The sequence below is a fragment of the Homo sapiens genome, chromosome 4 (genome assembly GCF_000001405.40).
Source record: "Homo sapiens chromosome 4, GRCh38.p14 Primary Assembly".
Taxonomy (NCBI): domain Eukaryota; kingdom Metazoa; phylum Chordata; class Mammalia; order Primates; family Hominidae; genus Homo; species Homo sapiens.
The window spans coordinates 3,694,042-3,707,054 of record NC_000004.12 but is presented as its reverse complement, the minus strand read 5'-3'; the positions used below and the strand labels follow the sequence as shown (position 1 = coordinate 3,707,054).

At 51.4% G+C, this 13,013-nt stretch overlaps 2 annotated features.

The window, feature by feature from the left end:
• Positions 2,368 to 3,274: an enhancer, noted in NCBI's record as "H3K4me1 hESC enhancer chr4:3705508-3706414 (GRCh37/hg19 assembly coordinates)". NCBI's record gives its function as "activates a minimal SCP1, AML or CMV promoter by ChIP-STARR-seq in naive H9 embryonic stem cells {active_cell/tissue: H9 hESC(naive)}" and the evidence as "EXISTENCE:reporter gene assay evidence [ECO:0000049][PMID:30033119]".
• Positions 3,275 to 4,182: an enhancer, noted in NCBI's record as "H3K4me1 hESC enhancer chr4:3704600-3705507 (GRCh37/hg19 assembly coordinates)". NCBI's record gives its function as "activates a minimal SCP1, AML or CMV promoter by ChIP-STARR-seq in naive H9 embryonic stem cells {active_cell/tissue: H9 hESC(naive)}" and the evidence as "EXISTENCE:reporter gene assay evidence [ECO:0000049][PMID:30033119]".

The window sequence follows — 13,013 nt, the reverse complement described above, 5'->3', positions numbered from 1 at the left end:
ACAGCCCCACAGTGACCCACTTTCTCCCCGAAATGGGCTGGATCTGCCTCTAGGTGTTTTCTGTCTCGGCCCAGGCTTTCCTAACACCGGCTGGTGCCATCCAAGCCTCCTGCAGGGTCAGCAGATTTGCAAACCACAGGTTTCTCCAATTTCTTTGGAGAAAAAAAAAAGGAAAAAAGAAAGAAGGAAATAATTTTCCAAAGTATTATGTTTCTTCCCAATAAATCAAGGCCACCAGGCCTGGCAATGGCCCCAGACTTGTCGGGCAGCAGAGCTTGGTGACACCCTGGGATGGGCTGGGAGCAACAGAGCTTGGTCACACCCCGAGATGGGCTGGGGAGGTTTGGGTGTCCAGCATGGGGAGTGGCTCCTACCTGGAGCCACTGCCAGGACGGGAGCATCTCCAGAAGCCACCAGGAGGGGATCTGGCCCAGTGAGGTGGGCAGGGAAACTCCTGTCTACCCCCGCACGGATGGCAGGGCCCCTGTGTTCACAGGGTAGGGAGGCATCACTGCTTTCCAGGTGTGAAGCGGGGGTCTGGAGGCCTCTCTAAACCAGCTCAGTGGCCACCGTCAAAGTTCCTTCCCTTTGACAAAAGTTTCCGGAGGCTGTTAGGGGACCACCCCCAGCAGTCCTGCCCCACCCTGACCCCTGGAAGGCCTGGGTCCTCCACCACCAGTGTCAGGGACGGGCAATCAGGGCTCACAGCTTTTCGGGAAGGGAAAGATGCGTGAGGAACATGGTGGCCATGAGGCCCCTGGGTTTGGGGCAGGGCTATGAGGCACCCAGCCCAGCACGGGGCCCACCTGTGCTGAGGAACTGACAGAAGGTCGCTGGCCGTCCTTCAGGGACACGGTCACATGGTGGCTTTAACAAGATGTGTCCACATCCTGATCCCTGAGCTGGTGAATGTGCCCTCACATGGCCGAGGTTGTGAGGAGGCTCAAATCTCATGCTGGACGCTTGGAACCGCTTGCTGCCCTAGGAACTGCTCTAGTTCACAGCAGCCCACCAGACAGAGGGAAGCTGCCGCACCTGGGGCCTCTGTCCTAGTGGAGAGGGCAGGTAGAGACAAGAGGGACAAGTGGTGAAAAGAGGGCCATTGTGTAGACGCTTCTCTGTGCCACGGAGGAAAATGAAACAGGAAGGGGCTGAGAGGTGTAGGGTGGGGGCTGTGGCTTACAAAAGGTGCTCAAAAGAGGTCACATTAGATGGGGATGCAGGAAATGGGGTCAGCAGCACATTTCTGGAGGCTGCCTTCCCAGCAGGCAGGCAGCAAGAGCGAGGACGTGGCGCGTCAGATGGGAGCTGCTTCCGGGCCCCACCTCCAATCCAGGCCTCGCGGGGGCGAGACTGGAAGGACCCAAGCACTGTCCCAGCCATCCCATTGTCAGCCACACAGCCTGAGGCTTGGTCTGGAGCCCGCTGGCAGCCCATGGGCCAAGACCGGCAGGAGGGCCCCCTCAGAGGCCGTTCCAATAACCCAGTGGAAAGGTGGCAGGCTGGGAGTCAGCGAGCGATTGACTTAGGGTGGAGGACACATCTCTGGATAAGGGATGGTCAAGGAATGCCAGGAGGACTGTCCTGTGGACATCACAGTCACCGACGCTGGGGCTGCAGCCTGCCTGCCGCTAAACACCAGGACAGCCCTGGAGAGTTGGTTGGACATTTATAGCAGAGGGAGCGTGTGTTTCATCCCCTAGCCTGCACCTCCCAACCTGGGGCTTTAGGTTGGAGAAAGGGGGCTTCCCCACCAAGTAAGCCATGTGACTGGACGTCTCTGCACCTGAGGCAGAGATCATAACCCCAGGGCAGTTTGACCCATTTAGGGGAGAACAGTTTCCCTCCCTCACCTCAAAAGGCTCCCACTCCACCCACGCAAAATAGCAATTAAGAGTCGAGCCAGGAAAAAGAGAAATAATTAATATTTTCTCCAAAGCAGAGTTCCTTGTTTAAGAGCTAAATAACACAGAGACAGCTTAACCGCTACCCAGCACAATCAATTCTCTCTGGTTCTAACCTGCTCATGTGTGTTTCTTTAATCAGAGCTATTAAGAGACATTTCTGAGAGCTTCAATGTGGGGTTGTGCTGGGTTTTTGATTTGCCAGAAATGATGATCGGGATGATTATACGCCCACACGAGAGGCGCCTCAGCAGAGGGTCATCCTGGCTTCACAGTCCACAGAGCTGGAGGCAGCGCCGGCCGTGGGCACTGACTGGTCCAGTCCTCCCAGCAAGTTCCTTCCTTTCTCTGTGCCTCATCTGTGAAATGCAGATTCCACTAACAATCTCTAAGTGGTTATGGGAAGTAAGTGGCTTTTGACATGCAGAGGTGATAGAAATAGCGATCTTTATCGCTATCTGTTCGTAACAAGCACTGGGTCTAAGCACCTTAGATTTACTCGTTAGCTGAAGCCCTGCAAAACCCCCACCGCTAGATTTCACCATGATTCCCACTTTACAGATGGGAAAACCAAAGCACAAGGTGTAACTCACTTGCTGTCCAGCAGAGTAGCAGGTGGGGACACTGGGGGCTCAGAGGGTCATTGGTTGAGTGTGTGGTGCTCGGGGGAGTCCCAGGGTGGACCTTGGGGAAGAGAGTCCACGTGGACGTCCCCAGGGAAGAGGTTGAGGGGAGGCCCTGGAATTGCAGGGAAGGGAGGTGGAAAGAGTGCCAGTCACATGAGGCTGGTGTGCTTGTGGTGGGGGCGCCCGGAGGAGGCAGACACGGGGCGTGGGGTCCCAGCCAGCTGTCCTGGGAAGCCCAGACACCCTCAGGAGCCTGTGTGTAAGGGGCCACCCTCCCCATTCTCCTGGGACTAGGGGAGTTTCCTGGGACATGGGATTTTCTGTGCTAAAACCAGGACGGTCCTGGGCGAGCCACGACAATAGGTCACTCTATGAGTTGCTCCCAAACCGCAGAGGGTGCGAGGAAGCCCAGGAAGCCGCCAGCCACGGCTCCCCACCCACCTGCTGCCTGGCCTCCCACCGCTCGGCATCTCGCCTTCTGGGAGGCTGTCTCCTTGCAGGAGTTTATTTTCACCCACCGATGGGATAATTACAGGGAAGAGGGGAAAAAAATGAAGTTGACAGAATCACAGATTAGAGAGAAATGCAGCCCACTTCCTCTGAGTTCCTCGGTGCATTTAAAGAAACCTGAGATCATCAGTGCCTTTGTCTCTGCACACCGCGCCCACCGGTAATAGCTCTGGCAGCGGCTCCTGTCCTTAGCTGGTCCCAGGGAGGCAGGAGAGTCCTGGGAGATTCCAAAGGATGGGGCCCAGCCCCGCGGCCCGTCTTCCCGTGGGGCTGGCATGTCGGCCCTCCTCTCCAGGTCTCAGGTGGCAGTTTGATCCTTGGTGGGGACGTGCCTGGCACTGACAGAACCCAGCCAGGTCCCAACATCCCTTACAGTGATGGGAGCTCTCCCTGAAGTCCCCACCCTGGGCCTCGCCCCCATTAGCTACAGAAAGCCCCCCACACTGACAGGCAGAACTCCCAACTTCCCCTCCCCACCCTCTCTTCTTCCCATGATGCCAGATGGGGCCTCTGGAGGCCGAAGGGGTCCAGAGCCCTGGGCTGACTGTTCCAGAAGGCGGCTGCCCCCACCCTGCCCCCATCTCTGCTGCTACCGTGCCATTCTGTGCTTCTCTCAGGGACAAGCTGCAAATGGCCTTGGGATGGGGACAGGTTCCGAGGTCAGCCACCCTCCTCCAGAGCCACCCGCACCCTCACTGCTGTCCTGCCCCTCACCCTTCCCCCCCCTCTTAATTAATGGACTTCAGTGTTTAGAGCAGTTTTAGGTCACAGGGAAACTGGGCCTGAAGCACAGCACGCAGCTCCGCACACCTCCCGCCCCACAGGCTCCGCGAGTGCCTCGTGCACTGGTGCGGTGGGGGCGTCTGCCGCACTGAGGGGCCATATGGACGCGTCGCCATTAGCTGAAGCCCACGGTCGGCACGAGGGCTCCCCGTCTGTGTGGCACCTTCTACGGTCGTGACAAATGTCCAGCCCCCACCGTGACGGCATCACGTGCTCCTCCTGTCCACCCCTCCTCCCTCTCCTTGGAGCCCCCCTTGCCAAGCACGGGGGAGGGGGGCTGGATTCAGAACTCAGGGACTCCAAGGAAAGGAGCAGACCTGAGAGCTAACGTGGGGTGGGGCCTCTCTGGGTGGGCCAGGCCTGCCCCGCAGGGACAGCTGGGCCCCCCGATCTTGGCCAGCACCGAGGGCTGCTCCCCTGACCTGGGGCAGGCCCTGCACTGAAGCCCCTGTGGAGGCCTCAGCTCTGCACTCCCCACCCCTTCCCCTGCAGCCCCTGCCCCTGGAGTCAGCACTGAGCTCCCCCCAGGAGGCTGGACCAAGGATGCTGCCGGCCTTAGCGGAAGGAGGGTCACCCCACGGGGAGAGATAGGAGCAGAGGCAGATGCAGGAGCGGGGGAAAGGAAGAGTGTTGGGCACCAAAATGGGGGGTGCCTGGGAGGGACCCGGGCATCATAACGGGCGCCCTCCCGTCGTATGGGCAACCTCTTATTTTTTGGATGGGGAAACTGAGGCCCAGCTTGGGAGAGGTTCACCCAGAGTGACACAGTCAGTCCGGGCAGTGGGAGGGGGGTCAGTCCGGGCAGTGGGAGGAGGGTCAGTCTGGGCAGTGGGAGGGGGGTCAGTCCGGGCAGTGGGAGGGGGGTCACACAGCAGAAGCATCTCCTGCAGCCCAAACACCAAGCACCCCAGAGCCCCTGAGACCTGGGGGCCACGGGATCGCGGCCGAGGGAGACTGAGGCCAGCCTGGAGGTCCTCTCCTGCCCTCGGGAGATGTGTGGCTGGGCAGGCGGCTCTCCTTCTCCAGGCCTGTTCTGTCATCTGCAAGTGGGCCTCCTAATTGTGCAAATACCAGCAGGCGGTCTGAGTTGAAGGGAGCTGGGAGTGCCCCACAGGTGCTGATCTGTGTTACGTGTTACCTCCCTTCCCCCAGGGAACCCACCAAGAACTCCGGCAGGCGCAAAGGCAGCGGTGCAGGAGGAACCAGGGTTGTGAGGCTGCTAACGCCAGAGCTCGCCTGTTTCTGTAGCAACCTGGAGCTGCGACTCGCTTCTGGAGGGGACGGTGGGGCTCCAGGATGACCTGGGATGGGGGGCGCACTAAGGCGAAAAGAGGGCCAGGACCCAGCCTCCCCCACACAGCCCCTTGCAGCGGAACCCTGATCCTCCCATTCCTGAAGAGACCCCATGATCAAAGCAGCTGCTGCTGCCTGGAGATGGAGCCTCCCGGGCCCTCCGTGGGAGGGGCTGGGGCAGGAGGCTCACAGAGGGCGGGAAGGGGTGACCCCAGCAACAGCAGGGATGGCTCTTGTTTCCCAGGGGCTCACCCCGCCCGCCTGGCTTCCTCTTCTCAGGCCCCCTGGAGGACAGCACCAGCATCCTCCAGCCTTGTTTTCTAAGGAGGATGTGAGCTGGATGGGGAGCCAGGTGACAGCTTCCTGGGCCCAGCCGGGTGAGACAGCCAGGACCCTGCCCTCTGTGGCTGCCAAGGCCCAGGGCACCAGCTGAGAGGGAGCAGGGCAGAGCTGGCAACTCCTGAGCCCCCGCGGCCCACCCCCAGTGGAGCCCGGTCATGTGCAGGAGCTGTCCAGGGTGTGGACGGGCTCCGCACCAGTCTCGGAGCTGAACCACAGCCAGTGCAGGGCAGTGGCAGGGAGCCAGTCTGGGCTCTGAGAAGCAGTGACCTCCCTCCCCATCCGGGGAGGATTCATGCGCCCGCTGGCTGTGGGGAGCACCTATGGCACACAGGGTGGACTTGGCGACCGCTTCAGAGGCTCCCCTGGGAGGATCCACCCTCTTAAAGGATTCACTGAGAGAACCTGGCCCTGGGTAAACAGGGGCTCATAGACCAGGGCCAGAAGGGAGAGAAGCCATGGTTTGCCTCCAAAATGCAGAGGCCCTGGTATTCATCCCTCAGAAGAAGAAGGGGTTCCTAGCCCCTGCTGGCATGCAGACAGGTACACCTGCTCACAAGTGCCTCCCCCACACGGATGCACAACCCCCCACACATCCCACACAGCCCCACACATCCGCATGCAGGCACACAGACCCTACAACTACCACGGCCACGTACGGGGGCCTTGCCGCTTCCACCGCTCACTGAAGGTGGGGTGGGAGGGTTCCAGGGAGGGTACAGAGGTGAGGCTGGCAGCAAACCCCACAAACAGAACAATTGCCCCAGGCCATCGCATCAGGAAGGGCCAAGTCCCACGCAGCTGAGGATTACTAAGGGCTGGAACGCTCTTAGATTCCAAACTCAACTCTGAGGCTCCCATTTCAGCAAATCCATCCAGCCTGGCCTAGGCCAGCTCACCTCAAATTTAATTCAGTTCAGTTTATTTCATTTCAATTCAGTCCAGATCCAACTCAATACAGATCCAAATTTATTTCCATTCATTTTAACTCAACCCAATCAAAATGCAGCTCACCCCTAACCCATCTGCCCAGTCTGCAAGGAGCAGCGCCTCCTATGAGGGACCTTCCAGAAATTTCCCCCAAAACCTAGTACAGACTGCCCACCTGTCACCTGCCCAGCCATCCGCCTGTCGGCCTGCCCATCCGCCCTCCTGGGCGGGGCACAGACCCAGGCTACCCGGCCCAGCCCCAGAATCCTGTTCATCAGTGCCACCATCCTCTCCTGCTCTCCCTCCTCCTCCACTCCTCCCCTCCTCCTTCCTCTCCCCTTCCTCCTCCCACTTCCTCCCCCTCCTCCTCCCCCTCCCCTCCTCCCCTCCACTCTTCCCCCTCCTCCTTACCCTCCCCACTCCTCCCCTACCTCCCCCCCTCCCCCTCCACTCCTCCCAGCATCATCATCATTCTTATCCTCTTTTCAGCAGCAGCAGCAGCAGCATTTTCAGCTTCATCATCGTCTCCTTCACCTCCATCTTTGTCTTTGCTGAGTCCTCCCTCTGCACTGGGGATGCCCAGCCCATTCCAAGCACAGCAGCTTCTATCCTCGCAGGAGCCCCGGGAGACAGTCTCCGTCAACCTTGTCACTGGAGGGAAAGCGGGGGTGCCCAGAGGAACAGGAAGTGGCCACCACAGCCAGGAGCAGGCTGCAGGCCGGGCCCATCCCAGGTCCCGCACCTCCCCTTCCAAGGTTCCTGCCTGGCCCCAGGGGCATTAGTGCTCAGGAGTGTTGGCACTCACTGCCCGGTGCTCCCCAGGCCCCCAGCCCTCTTGCCTCTGCCCCTCAGTGCTTCCAGCACCCTGAGCAGCCCCTCACCACCCGCGGGTCCCTGCAGCAGCTCTGCTGCCTTCTCCTGGCACCCGGGCCCTTCTGCCCCCGCCCCTCCAGGGAGAGAAGCTCAGTGGGTCACATTTGCTGCACCCGCGACTCCGTGTCTGCCTCCATCTCCCTCCTAGCCTGGCGAGCCCTCCCAGGCCCACTCACTACACTCCCACCAGGCCTGTTGGAGGTTCCTGGGTTGGTTTTTATCAAAACCATTAATGATTTCAAATACTCTAAAGAGGGCCATCTTCTCCTGCCTCCACCACAGCCACTTAGATCCACTGTGGCTCACTGAGATTTGGCAGAGACTTCGGTTGTCATGGTGTGGGTGTGGCCGGCCCCCCTGCTGGGACGGTGCCGACCCGGTCAGGGCAAGCATGGCCCCCAGGAGGGGTCTGTCTGGTGAATGATATAGAAATGGATGAGCAGAGAGGCAGTCTGATTTTTTTTAAAACAAAATTATTTGATGATTGTACAAACACTCTATGTCCAATATGAGAATTTTGCAAAAATACAGAAGAGTGGAAAGTGAAAAGAAGAAAACCACAAGCCCCCAAACTCCCTAGAGAAAACTGCCATGAACATTTTGGGGTTATTTCTTCTATACAGGCTTCCATAGTATGCATAGTTTTGTATATTACCTTTTGCACTTAACATTTTCCAGTCCATTAAATGTCCATTGAAAGCATGATTTTAAAAACCATGTTATTATGGAATTTCTCCAGGTGCTCACCCCCACTTCAACAATCATCAATATGTTGTCAGTCTTACATTTGTCTATTGTCACTCCTATTTTTATTTCTGCTTTTGGTGGAATACCCTTATGGGTTGAATTGTGCTCCCCAAAAACATATGTTGACATGCTGACCCCTCCCTCACAGACTTCAGGATGCGACCTGATTTGGAAATAGGGTTGCTGTGGCTGCCACTAGTTCAGTTGGCGATGGTCATGCTGGAGTGAGGTAGTGCCTAACCCAATATACCTGGTGTTCTTGTCAGAGGGAAGATTCAGAAAGAGAGACAGAGGGAGAAGGCCACACACACACACCTTCAATCCTATGATGGCCATGGGAAGGTGGAGGCAGAGGTTGGAGTGACAGAGCTGCAAGCCGAGGAGCATGGAGGATGGACGAGGTCACCACCATGGAAGGATTCTACTAGGAGTCCCAGGGGGAGCTCCACCGACACTTTCATTTCAGCCTCAGAACTGTGAGATGTTAAATTGCTGTTGTTTTAGTCACGCAGTTTGTGGCACCTTGTTATAGCAGGCAGATTTCTCCCTGATGGGGTGAAACTGATACAAACACTAAAGCATGACTGTGTAATGTTTCATCAGATAGCGGTGCCATGTGACGAGATCATGAGTGGAGGAAAATTGTTGAAAAATGACGTACAAAGCCTACCATGAAAACGGACACCAATAGAAGACAGGAAGGAAACACATCAAAAAGTTCTTAATTATTTTTACTGAGGGATTCAAATATTTTGAGTCCTTTTCTTGTTTGTTTAGTTTTTTTGGGTTTTTGCAGGGAGGCGAGGTCTCACTATATTGACCCAGTTGGAATGCAGTGGAATGGTCACAGCTCACTGCAGCTTCAACCCCCTGGGCTCAAGCAATCCTCCCACCTCAGCCCCCTGAGTAGCTGTGACTAGAGGCACATGCCCCCACACATGGCTAATTTTTATTATTATTTGTAGAGACAGTGTCTCACTATGTTGCCTAGGCTGGTGTTAAACTTCTGGGCTCAAGTAATCCTCCCACCTCAGCCTCCCAAAGTGCCAGGATTACAGGCGTGAGCCACTGTGCCTGGCCTATTTTGAGTCCTTACTCTGTGCCAGGCACCACACAAGGTATTGTACCTCATTTAATATGTCCAAGAACCCTCTGAGGTCACTCTCCTGGTAAATGGCCAAGTTAAGATCCAAAACACACCAGACCCAGCCCTTTCTCCATCCCCACCAGGGTTTGGATGGTTACATGTGTCCTGTGTATCTCTATCTCTGTGGATGGTGCCTAGAGCAGACATTCCAGCTCAGCACCAGCTGGACTACTGGTTCCTTGACCTTCTCTTCTCCTCTGATACAGCCATTCACTCCTTCAGTATCTCATCTCCCTGAAAATGCCGTAGATTTTCCCATTGCCATAAAAGGCACACCTTACAGAGTCTTACTTTCAAGACTTAGAGCCTCACGTCTTTCCATCTCATCCCAGCAAGTACTCACCCCAGCAACATGACTGTCCTGGGACTCACAATCCTTTATGCCCATCACCCCTTTACTGGCCCTCACCCCCTTCACACCCTCATTTCCCTCATGCACCTTTACTACCCCCACCCCCTTCGTGCCCTCATTCCCTCACACAAACACACATACGTACACTTTCAATCATCTTACCCTTCTCTCATTTTAGCACACTCAGTTATAACACCCCAACCCTGGTGACATTCAACTCTCCACCTAATCTGTATTTGCACTTGGTCTAGAAACAAAGAGAGGACACCAATTGCCAATATCATGAATGAAAGAGGAGACAGTACTACAGACCCTACAGACATGAAGAGCATAATAAGGAAATGTAATGAACAACTTCATGTCAATGAGTTGAGCAGCTTTGATGAAATACAAGAGTTGAAAGATAGTTTATCAAAATGGACTAAGCATGGATACAGGAATTGCACAATTCAGTAATGGATAGCAGATGGTGGGAGACAGATTTCTGTCTGATGGGGTGAGAGGTTACAGATAAGCAAGGGGAGGAGGCTAGAATGATCCATGTGATAATTGCTTAGGAATAGACCTCAATGTGAACTCATGTCCAGCTTCGTACAGATACAGGGGGTTATATATAGAAATATGTAAAGATACGTATATATACACAGGTTGCTATGCATGCATATTTCCTTGCTTTGCCAGCTGAGAGGGCTGAGAAGCAATGACTCCCCAGTAACAGCAGGTCCCATTTTTGGTTTCTAATACTGCTCTCCAATGAAAAGAACCAGGGCTCTTCAGGGAAATGGGTGATTCTAAGCCTGTGTAAAGAATGATCCAAGATGAGTCTGGAGCACCTTGTAGTGCTAGAAACTGAGAAAGTGCTCAGAAAAGGACCGCATGCACACACATGTGCACACACACACACAACTGAGGCTGTGTCAAAGGAACACAGGAGTCAAGTGAAAGAGCTTCCAATGGCTAAAACCAGAAAAATTTAAACAACAAAATAAGGCGCTACCCAGCAGCCATGAGTTTACACTGATAGGAATAAAATGATCAGATACTGGGAGAGATGAGCAGATCTCCAGGCAGGATTCCAAATAAGTTATGGAGCTACTCTGCCCTCAGGAGGAGAGCATGGCTCCCCGCTCCTTAACTGTGAGCTGTGCACAGTGACTTCTTGCCAGAAAGCAGAGTATGGAAGGGGGAGGGGCAATTTTTTGGTGACCAAAGTCAACATCAGCAGTGATGAGCTCTGTTGACACTGTGAACCCTTGAACCACAGACGAGAAGAGCACCTCACAACTGTGGTATTCCTCCCTAAACCCATTGACACTGTTTAGCCATGAGAAAAACATCAAATACATCCAATTAAGGGACATTTTACAAAACGTTTCACCAGCACTCCTTAAATTCATCAAGGTCATCAAAACAAAGAAAGTTTAAGAAATTGTCACAAGAGCATAACATAACAACTAAAAGTAATATGGGATTCTGAATGGGATTCTAGCAAGAAACAAAAGGCTTTAGGTAAAAACTAAGAAAATATGAATAAAATATGGACTTTAGTTCATAATAATGTATAAATATTGGTTCATTAATTGTGACATACATCATATACTAATATAAGATGCTAATAATAGGGGAAGCTGATCGTGGAGTTTATGAAAACTTCTTTTACTATCTTTGCAATTTTTCTGTTATCTAAAACTATTATAAAATAAAACTTACTTTAAATAGTACTATATCAATTAAAGAAGTCGAATTTAATTAAACATGTGTCCACAAAGAAAACTCCTTTGAGAACACTGACAAACATTTAAAATAAATAATAACAACCCCCCCACAAGCTCCTTCAGAAAAAGAGAGGTAGGGAAAACACTTCCAAACTCATTTTATGATACCTGGCACCAAAACCAGGCAAATATATTATAAGAAAAGAAAACTACAGACTGGTATCCTTCATGAACACAAGTATAAAACTTCTTAACAGAATATTACCAAATGGAATCTAGTAAAAATGATGAGGTATGTGTGATAAAACTTCATGATTAAGTGGATTTCTTCCAAGAATGCAAGGTTAGCTCAACATTGAAAATCATTCTACATGACTCACTACATCAACAGACTAAAAAAAAAGAAATGATAAGATCGTCTGAATAGATGCATGAAAACAAATGCATATGACAAACATCAACATCTGTTCATTAAAAATGCTCTCATTAAACTAGGAATACATAGCAACTTCTCCACCTGATAAGAGGCATCTAGAAAAACAAACCTGCAGATCATATCATACCTCATGGTGAAAGAAGAAATACCTTCTCCAAAGCAAGGATTCTACCTTCACCCCTGAGGGTCCTAGCCAGTGCAATAAAGAAAATACATGAAGAAAGCGTCTAGAACCAGCCCATGAGTTTAGCAGTCACAGGATATGAAAGGTGTAGTGTAGTTCTATATACTAGCAACTTAAAATTAGAGACTGAAGTTTTAAAATACCATTCACAATGGAATAAAATACTTTCAAAAGTATTAGAAAGTGAAAAGGTAAGATACTTAAGGACAAACCTAATAAAATATGTACAAGATTTGTAGGTTGAAAACTACAAAGCATTTCTGAAATAAATTAAAGACCCAAATAAATGGAGAGATATACTGAGTTTACAGGTGAGAAGATCCGTTGTTATTAAGATGTCCTCAAAATTAATCTATCAATTTAATGTAATCCCAGGCAGCTTTTTAAAAATAGAAGTTGACAAATTGATAATAAAAATTATGTTGAAGTGTGAAAGACATCAAATGGTTAAAGCCATGCTGATGAAGAAGAACATATTTGAAAGACTCACTCAACCTGGTTTCAATACATCATAAAGTTGCGGTAAGCTAGATGGTATGGTATTGGCGTGATGATAAGCATGTAGTTTAATAAAACAGCATGCAGTCCAGAGGTAAATCCACAAATGTATGGTCCACTGATTTTCAAAAAACATACCAAGGTAATTCAATAGGGAAAAAATAGTGTCTTCTTAAAAAGTGCTGAAACACATTTAACATCTATACGGAAAAGAAAAAAATGAACCTTAATCTTTAATCTACACCATATACAAAATTAACATTAAATAGATCATCAGAACAAAATTAACACGAAATAGATCATTAGACTTAAATGTAAGACTTAAACCTATGAAACTTCTAGGAGATTACATAGGAGAAAAGCTTTGTTACATCTTGGTCAAGCAAAGATTTATGAGATCAAACATGTAAAACACAAACCATAAAAGACAAAGTTAATTGGGCTTCAGTAAAATAATAAAATTTCTGATCTTTGAAAAATACCACTAAGAAAGTGAAAAGACAAGCTAGAGACAATGAAAAAGCATTTGCATTACATATGTCTGACAAAGGACTTGCTTTCAGAATGTGTGAAGAAATTCAACCCAATAATACACACAACTCAATCATAAGAAAGCAAAAAACTTTAAAATAAGCAAGAGATTGGAACAGAAACTTTACAAAAGAGAAGATGCCAA